Raw genomic sequence first — 13,621 nt, 5'->3', positions numbered from 1 at the left:
GACCAGCCTGACCAACATGGAGAAACCCCATCTCTACTAAAAATACAAAATTAGCCGGGCATGGTGGCGCATGCCTGTAATCCCAGCTACTTGGGAGGCTGAGGCAGGAGAATCGCTTGAACCCGGGAGGTAGAGGTTGCAGTGAGCCGACATTGCACCATTGCACTCCAGCCTGGGCAACAAGAACAAAACTCCGTCTCAAAAAATAATAATAATAAATAAACAAATAAATAAACCCAGAAACTATAAGGAAAAAAAAGGAAAAGATGTGGAAATAAAAGCTTAAAGATGGACAATGAAAAAAAGATATACATAAGCTAAACGGTAAAATTTCCAACTGGTTTGTCTACTGATCTATATGTTATTTCCATTATTGCCATTTTAGATTTATTTTTAATGTTAAAAAAACAAACTGTAGAAATGTTGCGCTATTATTATTTGTCCTTGGGACAATGCCATCACCCTTTGGTGCTTACTAACATCTTTTCCAAACCACGAGCAAAAGCCCTGGCCCTAACACTCCATGAAAATTTCATCACCACAATTCCAAATCAAATAATCTCCTGTCCTAAGCTGTAAAAGCATAACTGCCTATTCCTGTAAAAACTGTAATTTTCAACACATTTGCTCATCATATATATTAATGGCCTATGTATTTATTCATCCTGCTGCAATTCCATCAATCAGAAAAAGATAAAACCCCAAATACTGACAAAGACAACACTGTATGCTCCTCAAATGAGCATTCAAGAGCGTTCCTCCATGGGCATGTTAGAAAATTTAACAAACGATATAGAAACATCATTCCTTTTGAGAAGTGAAAAATGAATGGCAGGGTAAATGGCTCCATATCATGGCATTCTAACTTGCTACCACAGTCATTTCTTTACATCCACTAGCAATGGTGACCAAAACCAATTTCATTTCTAACATCCTTACCCAGCAATCTGAACATGTAGTATGCAATCGAATTCGTGTAGTATACTACACGAATATTTACGTGTAGTAAATAACACCTTAAACTTTTAGAGTCCCTTTAAAAAAGTAAAAATAAAATAACATTCAGTAAAACTTCTAATATTCCATTTATGTTGGATGAGAAAAATTAACTTTAGAAATTTCTTGCTATAGTTTTCACTTCAACAGAGCTACTGCATCTTTAATACATTACTAATATGGAAAATTTTTAAATCAATTATTAATTGCAATTAGAGAAACAGCTTAACTGATTTATGTATTAAAATACAAAAGGCAAATACAAAGCTATCTTCTCATACATAAAAGGCCAGGGTTTTGAAAGGCAGTGTCAACTTGTAAATTATCTTAAAGTACTGCTACAGTAGTCTATTTTTTAAAAGATCAGTAATATAAATAAACAAATCCTTTTTTCGATCTGCAATTCACTGGGTTTAAGCTTTAGTTATTCCTTTCTACTTTAAAAAATGGGTTTCATTTAATAAACACACTCTAAATAACTTAAGGGAATAAAACACTTTATTTTAAAAATTCAAATATGCTTCAAATGAAAACTCCTATCCATTTATTGAGCACCCACAGAGTGCCAGGCACTGTACAAAACATTAGAAAGACTTGTTCATGCTCTTTTAGAGCAAAATTCACTATTCCGTTGCACTTTGCATGATGCTGACATTTTAGATCCATTGTCATAAAATGACCAAGATCTTCAAGACTTGTTCAAGAAACAAGTTTCCAATCCATAGTAGAAACAGATCATGCAGGTTAATGCAGAAGTCAACTGGTGATGTCTGTCAACTGTTTCACTTAATGTCCTCTCCCTGATTAAGAGAAAATTAAAGTATTAAGGGCACAGAAAATGGATTTTTAATAGTATTATAACCTAAATCTCAAGTTTAAAATCAGCATTAGTTCCAATAATGTTTAGCAAACATACTTTACCAAATTTAACTGTCATTCATATTACACCTTTATTTTTCAAATTAATAATAAAGCAAAACAAATTAGAATTAGGTGAAAAAATTGAAAAGAAAAGGCAAAAAAAAAGTGATATAAAATGAAACCACAAATTAGGCTAAGCAAAGAACACCATGGTGTTCTATATACTTGCTGGCAGAGAAAATTAAACTTAAGTAAAAACAGAAAATGCCAGATAATATCAATTTTAAACATTAAGCAATTTAAAGACTTTTTAAAATACTCACCTCTGAAACCACCACCTCTTCCTCCTCTGAAGCCCCCACCTCCACCTCCTCTTCCACCTCTAAAACCACCTAAAAAACATTTATTAAATAATAACGCAAAGTATTTAAATAACAATAGAATATAATAATCATTAAGTTATTAACTGTATAACCTCTTATATTGATAAGCCTAAAAAGATCAATACAATAACTATAATTATAATGAATAAATATAGATTCACATATTTTATCAGGGAAAAAATTTTAGAAGATAAAAATGGAGAAACTGTAGTAGTTTACCAACTGGGCAACAGGCTAAAACCCCAGATTATTCCATTTCAATAAATTAGAAAAACTTGTTAAAGTATGATTCAGTCTTGTTAAATGTATGACTATTGCCTTAGCTCTTGCTTATGATAAATACTTTTTTGATTCAACTAAGGATAGTTTGATGGAACTGTGGCTTTTTATCCTAACAACAAAGGGTGGCAGATATGGGTGCTTTTGCTCTGGGGGTAAGATAATAAATATGATAGTTAAGATTAACTGAGCTACATAAGTAAGATTTTAAAAAAATAAGACAGCTGTGAATTTTTTGAAATGTTAAATGATACTCAACATAACATGAGAATAGGGGAATCTCTGTTCATCAAATTCTCAAGAAGGTACCCCTGAGAATTTTCCTACCTATATGGACACAAAAAAATACCTTTATGGAGTGAAATGGTGATTAAATTGAGAAACGCCAAAAGTGAGGCGTTCCTTCTCTTTTTCTGATCCAGTAACAAAAGCTGTCCAAGCCCAACTTTCAGCTCCTCTCCCTTTCCACTTTGGCTCTGCCCATCACCCCATCACTCGCCCTTCTCCTACTCACAGGGCATGGCAGCCCCACTCCCCAGAGCCCTGCTCATCACCTAGCTGTCCATAATGATGAATGTGCCCAAACCTTAGGGGAAAGGCATACATCAAAACAGGCATACATCAAAATACCCCAAAACCTTGGGGGAAAGGCATACATCACAACAGTGAGATCACAGTAATGAATTTATTAGTAATAGTTCTTGACATGACATCAGAAGATATGCATTTTAATTCTTGGGTCTGCCAATTGTTTGATTGGGGCAAATTAATTTCTGTAAGTCTCCGTTTCCTCATTCATAAAATAAGGATATCATCTATCTCAAAAGGTTTCGCTGAGTATTAAAAATATATACATGGAAATTAAAAGAATGTATGACCAGCTTTCAGCATGCAGTCTACACTCAATAATATTAACTAAGGAATTAAAATTAAGATAATCTTACGGTTTATTAAAATGTCCAAGAAAACATGAATAACCCAAAGAAATGAAGTCCCTCAAAAGTATACTTTAGTAGATTTTCTTCTTTTTAAGTAAGTTGTTGAAATGAAGCATTATTATTATGGACAATCTGCCAATATTGGAAAGCAGCTTTAATAAAAAGAACCATAAGGGAGGTTTGCTATGTACAAAGCTAAATTGTATTGTATGAATTAGCTGTGAAAGTCACAGTTAATTTCATTAGAAATTTTCCCCAAGTAACTTACCGCCTCTGCCACCACCTCTGCCACCTCCTCCTCTTCCTCCTCCTCGGCCTCCCCTGCCACCACCTCTTGGAGGTCCTTTCTCACCTGGAGGTCGAGGTAAAAACCTCTGCAGTGGCAGCAGCTTATATGGGTCTATATAAAACTGGAAACATAATAGAAGCAATTAGTATACAACTTGGGGGACAGTATAATATAATCATTAAGAAGCTACATGATAGAGTCAAAACTGCCTGGGTTCAAACCCCAATCCTACCACTTTCTACTACATATCCCTGGGTAGAGACTTAATTTCTTACTAACTTAGGTTTCTTTTTTTTTTTTTTTTTTTTTTTTACCTTAAGTTCTGGGATACATGTGCAGAACGTGCAGGTTTGTTACATAGGTACACATGTGCCATGGTGGTTTGCTGCACCTATCAACCCATCATCTAGGTTTTAAGCCCCGTATGCATCGGGTATTTGCCCTATTGCTCTCCCTCCCCTTCCCCCCATCCCCCGACAGGCCCAGGTATGTGATGTTTCCCTCCCTGTGTCCATGTGTTCTCACTGTTCAACTCTCACTTACGAGTGAGAACATGTGGTGTTTGGTTTTCTATTCCTGTGTTAGTTTACCTTAGTTTCCTTATCTGTAAAATGTAGAGAATAGAGTATCTATCTCACATGTTTGTGTGATGATCAAAAAAGTGATGTATATAAGGCACTTGTACTTTGGCACACAATAAGCATTACATGCATATTAAAAAATCAAGACCAATTCAATATCATTTCTCTTTAGAAATAGATTATTTAACATTTCCACTCAACAGAACTGCCGTAAGAAAAATAAAACTATTAAAAAACACAGCATTAAAATTCAAAATAAAGCATTCGCATACTAGTTGTTTCAAGTCTTTAATAAAGGATCAAAAGGGTATCTTCTGAACACACAAAGTAATGAAGGATATACAGAAACTATACCCATCCTATAATTGGGGTTAAAGAGGACATTTCTCAAATAATGAGATGTAAAGAGCATATTGTATCATAGTTCTTCTACATAAAACACACGAGGATTTCAAAACTGTAATATATGACTTATAATAAGATCTCTGAATCCCTCTCTAGATATCACCTTATTACTCATCTTCCCTTCACAGCCCATCATCTCAAAAATATTGTCTAGATCTACATTGTTCAATATGGCAGCCACCAGCCACAGGTGGCTTATATTTACATTAATTAATGTTTAAAAATTCAGTTCCTGAGTCACATGAGCCACACTTCACGTGCTCAATAGCTACATGTGGCTAAGAGCTACTTTACTGGGCAGGGATTCCCATCACTACAAAAAGTTCAAGTGGAGAGCACTGGTCTACAAACTTCACAATAACGCAGGCTGGGTAAGGAGGGCTGAATCTCAACATAGCAGGGGGTATGGAAACCGGGAGAGGTAGAATGTACTCAAGTTAGTATCTGTAATTAAAAAGCAAAAACCCAAAAAACTAAACAATAAGCCCCCAAATAAATAATTCTGAGAAATTTAAGTGATTTAAGGGATTCTGATGAATTTAAGTGGCTATTACCAGCATTTTTTTTTCAGGTCACAAGATGAGAATCCCTTTTCAGCATTGTTTCTTTCTGGGCTCAACAGCTCCAGGCACGCCAGAAGCAGTCAATCCCCTGAGTACTTGCCAAGGTTTCTACAACTAGTAGCCATATGCTGACAACAAGCTATTGTCTCCCTCTCATTTCCTAATCCATTCTGGCTCCCGGGCCCACCAATGCACTGGCTCCATGACTCCCTGATGTCTATGTGGCTGTCTTCCAATGAACACTTTGCAGCCTTTTGCCATAGCTGAGCAGTCCCTCCTGGAAACACTCTTTCAATTTTTGTGATACCACTTTTATGACAGGCTTGTGGTTTGCCTTTTTTTTTTTAACTGGCAATTACTTCTGAGTTTCCACTACCAGACCTTTAGTTTTAGGAGGTGCCCCAAAACTCTTCATAGGTGCTCTTTTCCTTTCATTCTTTCTTCCTACAATGTTTCATGTACTGTCTGTATACTTAACAAATTCCCAATTCTATTTCCAGTCTAGACTCTTCCTTTAAACTGACCATGACTGTCTCACAAGTACCTCAACCTCACTATGTCCAAAACCCAACTCATTATCTTCCCCCAATCCCCCTCCTCTGCATTGTTGCCCATTTCATTAATTGGTACCATCACCCACAAAGATGTTGATGTCAGACATCTGAAAGATGGTGATTTTTTTACTTCTTCAATTTCAATAGCTAGTCAATTACCAAGTCCTATTGATTCTACTTCCTGTATCTTTCATAAATCCATTTTTTCCATTTCCACTGTCACTACCGAGTCCAAAATACCATCTCTTTTAGAACTACTATTATAGCCTCCTATCTGGCCCCTCTCACACAATATTGACCGCTTCCCAAGGTGCCTTTTTATCTTCCCAGTATTCTTTTGAAGCATTCATTTAACTGTGTTATCCCATTATTCAAAAATAAAACACAATTGAAACTAAGGTCTAAACTCTTTCCTGTCACCTGAAGGCTTAAGTTAATCAAGCCCCCTCCTACCTCTCTGGTCTTAATTCACAACTTTCCCCACCTCTCCTAAATGTTTCATTCCTAACCTATATGTCTGCCTTTTTGTATCCTTTCAGTTGCCTGCTCTCAGAGACTGCACATACTGTTTTCTCTACTTGGAATGCACTTTCCTCTTCCTCTTTGACTAGCTCAGCAGCTCTCAAGTGTTTGACTAACTACATCAAAATTATCCAAGTGCTTTTCCTTTTTAAAATTGAATCCTGGACGCTACTTAAGAGCTCCTAGGTCAAATTTCCAGAAGTGGAAACTAGAGATACATCTTCTTAAAAGCTCCCCAAGATAACTCTGACATGCAACCAGGTGTGGAAATCACTGTTAGTCAACAATCAGGCCTCAGCTTCAAGCTCACTTTTTCAGGAAACACTACAGACTTAAAAAGCTGGTGGCACTACAAAGCTTCTCATGGCAACCTGTATTTTTCCTTCATAGCATATATCATGTTATTGAAGTTCTTGTGAAATCACTTAGTACCTACCGCCTCTCAAATAACGTAAGTTTTACAAATTAAGATTCTACCTAGAATGTTTGGTCATGAAAGCTTTTCAATAAGAGAGTTTTACATAAACAAAAAACTCTTACTCTAGCAGTTTACAGATTTTGGTAATATGAGCAAAAGTTGTAATTTTTACTTTCTAAAGGCTGTATCAAATAAATCACTTTTAAAGATTAGTGTGTTCAATATTTATAGCATGGAACATTTCAATTTAAGAGCTTTACTAGTGATATGTTGGGAAAGTCTCAAGTGCTCCAAGTAGGACTTTCCTAAGATAGGTCGTTCCCTTATAAAACCAAGGATCCCAAGTATCATAAGTTTGACTCACCTTCTGTAGTTTTTTAAAGGATGAAGCCTTCATGTTTTCTGACAACTTAACTGAAAAATACTATTATTTTCATTAAGGAACAAATGAGCAATTAAGATGAAAGATGATATCAAATGTTCTGAATTCATGTATAATTTCAAAAACAAGGTTAGAATGTATGGATATATATAGGAAAGATAAGAAATGAATTTCCAGGGGCTGGGCGTGGTGGCTCACACCTGCAAACCCAGCACTTCGGGGGGCCAAGGCGGATGGATCACTTGAGGCCAGGAGTTTGAGACCATCCTGGCCAACATGGTGAAACCCCACCTCCACCAAAAATACAAAAATCAGCCGGGCATGGTGGCGCTCACCTGTAATCTCAGCTACTTGAAAGGCTGAGGCACGAGAATTGCTCGAACCCAGGAGGCGGAGGTTGTAGTGAGATGAGATCGTGCCACTGCACTCCACCCTGGGCAACAGAGTGAGTCTCTGTCAAAAAAAAAAAAAAAAAGGAAAAAAGAAAGGAAGGAAGGGAGGAAGGGAGGGAGGGAAGAAGGCAGGGAAAGAGCAAGAGAGAGAAAGAAAGAGAGAGAGAAAGAGAGAGAAAGAAAGAAAGAGAGAAAGAGAAAAAGAGAGAGAGAGAAAGGAAGGAAGGAGTTTCCAGAGTAGTGGGGGCACCAAACAACTTCTAATTCTACATTTCCAGTGGCACCACTACATCCAAATCAGCCAACTTAATCCTGTAGTACTTATCCAAATGGCCATCATTAATAGAATTTTCCAAAAAAAAAGTCACCGTTCTAGGGTCTGTCATTTTAATATCTATGGATGAATACATTCTCCCCTTGATTCTCCTTCATGGTCCAATCTGTAGCAATCCTGTCTAATTTAATGAAGCAACAACTTTAATTTATACTTAACTGCCTCCTCAGAAAAATGCAAATAGCAACCTTTGAATATTATCAGGCCTTCCAATGAAAAAGGATACAAAATCTCTGAGTTGTCCAAATATTTCATCCACTTTTCCAATTTGTTCTTTGTTTTCTAAGTAAACAGGAGCATTGAAATAAGGCACCTTATTTTCATCTGTGGTACATTTACAAACTATGTCATCTTCACAGGGATGCAGGAACTCTCCTAATACTGAAACAGGACAAGAAAATGTTAAAACATAGAACTATTTCAAACGATACTGACCAACTGCTTCTGGAAGCTTTCTTTTTGGCTACCTGGGACTTCACCATAACTGCTCTCCTCTGAGGCAGAAGACCACAGTCTTAGGACTTCCTGGGCTGGTATACCAACTCCACAACACACTAGCTATTTGACCTAGGAGAAGTTACCCACCCTCTCTCTAATTCAGTGTCTCATTTTTAGTATGCACTAATAACATATAATGTATAGCTATACCTAATATACAGTAATGTAAGCACTCAATGGAATAACAAATGTCAAGTGCTTAGAACAGTGCCTGGCACACTGACACCATTCAACCTGTAACAGTTATGTTATTACAACTTATTATCTGATTCAAAACTCTGCTTCATTCTCTTGGTTCTCCCTTTTCTTCAATGCCTAACAGAATCAGCCTTCATTCTTTTTTTTTTTCTCTTGCCTTAGAACTTTTCCATTCCCACTACCACCTCTTTAACAATGATTCATTGTTTTCAAGGACATCTGGAATCTCAAAATAACTACCTTTATTTCTAACTAGACTGTCACCCCAAACTAAAATACCACATTCCTGCAAAACCAAGTCTTCATTCCTATCACCCAAGCTCAAAACCTGGAACCCTTTATTATCAGCATTAGCTAAGTTCTACCGATTTTGTTTCCTTTGAAATCTCTCTCCTATCTAACCCTTCCTTTTTTTTCCTCACTGTCACCATCCTGATTCAGGCTCTCAAGGTCTCATGTATGGACTGGTACAACAGCTTGTGGGCTGGGACCTTTTATTCTAGAAACTGCTCCTTTCAAACCATCCTGCATACTCATCCAAGCCATTCTTAGTTAGACACTACTCACCCTCTCTCCTCTTTAATGTAGTAAGTTTCACTTTCTGTGACTTCCATTCCCATCTCATTGTTAATTACTCTAAAACTACCCTAAATAGGTGTTTTTCTAGATTTCCTCTCTGGCAGTTTCCCTCTCAAGCAAATTGTTTTCTCACTTATCTACTTTTGAGTAGTAACAGAAAGCATGGGCTTTGGAGTCAGAATACTTGGCTTTGTATTTCTTTCTTTTCTGTACAGACAGGGTCTCCTGCTTTATTATCCAGGCTGGTCTCTAACTCCCGGCTTCAAAAGATCCTCCCGTCTTAGCTTCCCAAAGTGTTGGGATTACAGGCGTGAGCCACCGCACCCAGCCTGTATTTCAGCTATATCACTAATTGATCACTTATCACTAACCTTATGACCCCAGCAAAAAAACTTAACTCTAAATCATAGTTTTCTCATCTGTAAAATCGGGGAATTAGGCATAAGTACTCACGATTACCTATTTAATATCTTCCTGTCAACCCTCAAGTTCCACCTCCAAGATGCATTCTAAGTATCCCTCAGCTTTCTTGATCTCCCCACTCCACCCTTACATGCTACATTCTCCACACAGGCTTGTGTATCCCAAACTTGCTGCCTAACAACACAAACCCCCAACCCACACCTACTCCTTCAAATAAGCTAAATACTGAAGACTGCATACAGACTACACGTTCTGGAGGTCCTTGGTCTTGGCCTTTGTTAAAGCCTCCGCGGCCACCCCCTCGTCCAAATCCTCCCCTGCCGCCGCCTCTGAAATTGCCGCCGCCTCCACCGCCGCCTCCACCTCGGAAGTGGTTGCTGCTGCCACCTCGGTTGAAGCCGCCACCTCCACCACCTCGATTAAAGCCTCCACGACCTCCGCCTCGAAAAGACATTCTCTCTCCTCCCTGATGAAAAAAAAACGACCTATGTCTTCTGATCACTGTAGCCTCTGAGTATACTCCAACCCCTCGGAGCTGCGGTGAGAACACCATAAAGGAGACAAAAGCAGCCCTGTCACCTCACCCACGGTCAGACAGCCAGTGACCACCAACCTGATGGGTGAAGAGTTTACTTCTCCATGGTCTCGTGAGCGCCGACCGACCACACACCACCCTTGCCGCCCCATGATTAGTATCTCCTCCCCCTACAGACAGCAAGGTCTTCGCACCGCATCCCCTTCCTTCCTCCCTCCCTCCGGCAGTTGGGTTCCACGTCCAGCATTTTCAAATCCTCCGGCTTCTACGGCCACTCACCGGCGCCACGTGCCCCTCTGGCCCTGGCCTTGCGCACACACCCACCCGCGGGGTACTTCCGCCGCGCTGGAACCTCCTCGGTTACCGTACCGCCACAGAGTTTTTTAAAGACCAGAAACTTGAATAACTGGTTTGCCAAAAAAAAAAGCCAATCACCCGCGGAACAAGCAACACTGGTTCCAAAACAGCCTTTAGCGCTGGAAAAGTGGCAATAATAGATAACCTTAACCACTAATTTACAACAGAGAGGCCAACTTGCCTGACGCTGAGCCGTGGAAGTGACGTATAACAGCGGCGTCCTTTGCAGCACGACGTCCCGGAAGTGCTGCGGCAATGTTGCTCTTGGAGATAGCTGGCGTTAGGGATCCGCCTTCTCTCCCAGAGGCGGGGCAGGTTTCTGTTTGGTTGCCGCCCTAACGGCCAGAACTAAAGCACCTTGCAAGGAATGAAGTTGGTTCTTGAAGTCCGTGCTGACTGGCTGGGCGCATTTGCGCATTTGCTTCTCTGGCTGCAAAATGGCCCGCAACAGCACTCACTAATTTGTTGCTAACTTCAGGAACTGTGCGGACAGGTCTCTGAGGCTTCTGAGCCGCGCTATGTCCAGTAGATCTGGGCGCCTCAGAACCTGTCACAGCCGACGGAAGCGTTTATCTGAGTTTCTTGTTTCTTCCCAACCTTTTGATTTTCGCACCATTACGCGCTCAACTATGCCTCTTCTTTTGTCCTATGGTCTCAACTAATTAAAGGAAGAAAAGCAATGCATGTGTGTGTGTAATTTTAAAGAAACTATGCTGTCTTATAGAAAACCAAACCATCATTTTTATCTTTTGTACCAGGTATTCAAGTATGTTTTGAGCACCGACGGGCTGTGAACTGGACTGTGCTGAAAGCTCCTCTCCCTCTTCTCTCTTTAAGCCCTTTATATTTGACATCAGCTTCCCCCACATTCTCCAAAGCTTCTCTCACAAATAAAGGTAATGACTTCCCATTTATTAAATTTGGTTGGAGTCTTTTACACCCAAACCCTCTGAGACCTTACCTTGATATTTGATCTCGTGTTTAGAAGAGGGTGGAACTTGGTACCTATCTAATTCAGAGGGTTATTGTAAATGGGATTTTAAAATACCTTTGTAGGCGGGGCGTGGTGGCTCACGCCTGTAATCCCAGCACTTTGGGAGGCCAAGGCAGATGGATCACTTGAGATCAGGAGTTCGAGACCAGCCTGGCCAATACGGTGAAACCCCTTCTCTACTAAAAATACAAAAATCAGCCGGGCATGGTGGCACACGCCTGTAATCGCAGCTACTCGGGAGGCTGAGGCAGGAGAATCGCTTGAACCCGGGAGGCGGAGGTTGCCGTGAGCCGAGATCACGCCACTGCACTCCAGCCTGGACGACAGAGCAAGGCTTGGTCTCAAAACAAACAAAAAACAAAATAAGTGAGAGAGGAAACTTTACTTGTTCTTTTTCTTTTAGTTTAGTAAATGCTGCAATTTGATTTTAACGAATGTTGGTCTTTTTATGGGCCTATATAAGTGTATTATTTTTGAAACAAAAAATGAAAATTACCTATTTAGTATGAAACCTTTGCTTATCTTTTGCTGTGTATTTGCTCAATTCTGAATTGAACTTGAGATTGTCACACACAGATTGCATTTTCAACTGAAATGAGATGATTTTTGTCTTTACTCTTAAAACTTAGTGAGAAAAAGCTTGCTTGAACAAGAAGTTTTAAAGTATGTCAAAATGTTTATTACTTTCTTAAAAATGTCAAGCTGCTCTTCTTTCTCAGAAATCCAAAACTTGTAGAAGCACAGATCAGGCCAGGTGCTGTGGCTGACGCCTGTAATCCCAGCATTTTGGGAGGCTGAGGCAGGCAGATCACCTGTGGTCAGGAGTTCAAGACCAGCCTGGCCAACATGGTGAAACCCTGTCTCTACTAAAAATACAAAACTTAGCCGGGCGTGGTGGCGGGCGCCTGTAATCCTAGCTATTTGGGAGGCTGAGGCAGGAGAATCGCTTGAACCCGGGAGGCGGAGATTGCAGTGAGCCAAGATTGCGCCACTGCATTCCAGCCTGGGCAACAGAGCAAGACTCCGTCTCAAAAAAAAAAAAAAAAAAAAAAAGAAGGAGAAACACAAATAAGTACATTTCATCTTATATCTACAGTCATACATTCACAAAGTTCTTCCTCTTTTCTCAAAGCCAGGTGCTCAGGCTGAGAAGATTCAAGGAAAGGGTTCCTCACGTAGTTATACAGTTGTGTTCCAGGGGAAGGAAAATATTGTTCGGTTTTGTTCTGCAATTCCCCACGGTGGTTTTCGGTAAGACTTGAGACTTCCTTATTCTAAAGTCCAAGCAGCAGTGGAAACATTTCAAGATCCCTTTTTGCAATATAACTTTTCCAAAGATTCAATATTTATTTAAACCCAAAAATCTTGTCACTCGAAGTAAAACGATTTTCTCCAGGGCCTGAAGATCCTTGTTCAACTAGTTCATGTGATGAAAATGTCTGTTAAGTAGGTGATATGGTTTGGATGTTTGTTCCCTCCAAATCTCATGCTGAAATTTGATTCCCAGTGTCGTAGATGGGACCTCGTGGGAGGTGATTGGATCATGGGGGCAGAATTCTCATGAATGGCTTAGCACCATCCCCTTGGTGATAAGTGAGTTTTCACTCAGTTCACTTGAGATGTGGTTGTTTTAAGAGTCTGTGACCTCTTCTATTTCTCTCTTGCTCCCACTCTTGCCATGTGACATGCTGGCTCCCCATCACCTTCCGCCATGATTGTAAGCTTCTAGAGACCTCACCAGAAACTGATGCCAGCACCATGCTTCCTGTAAAGCCTCCAGAACCATAAGCCAATTAAACCTCTTTCTTTATAAATTACCTAGCCTTGGGCATTTCTTTACAGCAATGCAAAAAAAAACAAAAATGCTGGTTTCCACAGCCATTCTTTATCTTCAAAGAATTTGGTAAAATCTGGGCTACTGTTTTCTTGAATGTATTTCTGTGATTCACTTTCTAGGTCAAGCGTCCTGTTAAGGAGCAGAATCTGTATTACCTTCTCTCACTCCAATCCGTAGTGTCAATAAACATTATTTTGTGTAATTTCTGTAGGTCAGAAATTAAGGAGCAGCTTAGCTGGATGATTTTGACCCAGGGTCTCTCATAAGGTTGCAGTCAAGGTATCACCTGGGGCTGCAGTCCAC

The 13,621-nt window shown here is 39.7% G+C and overlaps 1 protein-coding gene and 1 long non-coding RNA gene across 4 annotated transcripts, besides 5 other annotated features; one reads left to right on the top strand and one right to left on the bottom strand.

Moving 5' to 3' along the window:
• Nucleotides 1-1,476: 1,476 nt before the first annotated feature.
• On the bottom strand, nt 1,477-10,704 carry GAR1 (GAR1 ribonucleoprotein). Of its 3 annotated transcripts, none has more exons than NM_032993.2 (7): nt 10,669-10,704; nt 9,836-10,061; nt 8,124-8,278; nt 7,154-7,213; nt 3,726-3,867; nt 2,181-2,249; nt 1,477-1,796 (listed from the first exon to the last, which is right to left on the bottom strand). In NM_032993.2, the coding sequence occupies exons 2-7, from the start codon at nt 10,047-10,049 to the stop codon at nt 1,783-1,785; spliced, it is 654 nt and encodes a 217-aa protein (NP_127460.1). In that variant the 5' UTR covers nt 10,050-10,061; nt 10,669-10,704; the 3' UTR covers nt 1,477-1,782. The 3 variants fall into 3 exon arrangements, with proteins under 3 accessions (NP_127460.1, XP_047271745.1, NP_061856.1); XM_047415789.1 differs by having other exon boundaries at nt 10,209-10,689; NM_018983.4 differs by lacking the exon at nt 10,669-10,704 and adding an exon at nt 10,410-10,452.
• Nucleotides 9,707-9,776: an enhancer, noted in NCBI's record as "active region_21812". NCBI's record gives its function as "activates an Ori minimal core promoter by ATAC-STARR-seq in GM12878 lymphoblastoid cells {active_cell/tissue: GM12878}" and the evidence as "EXISTENCE:reporter gene assay evidence [ECO:0000049][PMID:35858748]".
• Nucleotides 9,947-9,996: an enhancer, noted in NCBI's record as "active region_21811". NCBI's record gives its function as "activates an Ori minimal core promoter by ATAC-STARR-seq in GM12878 lymphoblastoid cells {active_cell/tissue: GM12878}" and the evidence as "EXISTENCE:reporter gene assay evidence [ECO:0000049][PMID:35858748]".
• Nucleotides 10,347-10,396: an enhancer, noted in NCBI's record as "active region_21810". NCBI's record gives its function as "activates an Ori minimal core promoter by ATAC-STARR-seq in GM12878 lymphoblastoid cells {active_cell/tissue: GM12878}" and the evidence as "EXISTENCE:reporter gene assay evidence [ECO:0000049][PMID:35858748]".
• Nucleotides 10,407-10,806: an enhancer, noted in NCBI's record as "active region_21809". NCBI's record gives its function as "activates an Ori minimal core promoter by ATAC-STARR-seq in GM12878 lymphoblastoid cells {active_cell/tissue: GM12878}" and the evidence as "EXISTENCE:reporter gene assay evidence [ECO:0000049][PMID:35858748]".
• GAR1-DT (GAR1 divergent transcript) lies at nt 10,832-13,295 on the top strand. The gene is made up of 2 exons (NR_186620.1): nt 10,832-11,383; nt 12,614-13,295. It is a non-coding gene; the product is annotated as a GAR1 divergent transcript (long non-coding RNA).
• Nucleotides 10,977-11,076: an enhancer, noted in NCBI's record as "active region_21808". NCBI's record gives its function as "activates an Ori minimal core promoter by ATAC-STARR-seq in GM12878 lymphoblastoid cells {active_cell/tissue: GM12878}" and the evidence as "EXISTENCE:reporter gene assay evidence [ECO:0000049][PMID:35858748]".
• Nucleotides 13,296-13,621: the final 326 nt, after the last annotated feature.

This window comes from Homo sapiens, chromosome 4, assembly GCF_000001405.40.
Source record: "Homo sapiens chromosome 4, GRCh38.p14 Primary Assembly".
In the NCBI taxonomy this organism is placed as follows: domain Eukaryota; kingdom Metazoa; phylum Chordata; class Mammalia; order Primates; family Hominidae; genus Homo; species Homo sapiens.
Note: the sequence above shows the minus strand (reverse complement) of the source record. Positions and strands in the feature narration are given on the sequence as shown.

What these genes read in the sequence shown, in the direction of transcription:
- GAR1 (NM_032993.2), bottom strand. Translation starts at nt 10,049, where the DNA reads ATGTCTTTTCGAGGCGGAGGTCGTGGAGGCTTTAATCGAGGTGGTGGA. An exon ending in TTGGACAACTCAGAGATTTT is followed by an intron (nt 7,214 to 8,123) that starts GTATCCTTTTTC and finishes TGAAAATAATAG; the next exon opens with TATTTTTCAGTTAAGTTGTC. An exon ending in CCTTTAAAAAACTACAGAAG is followed by an intron (nt 3,868 to 7,153) that starts GTGAGTCAAACT and finishes TTATGTTTCCAG; the next exon opens with TTTTATATAGACCCATATAA.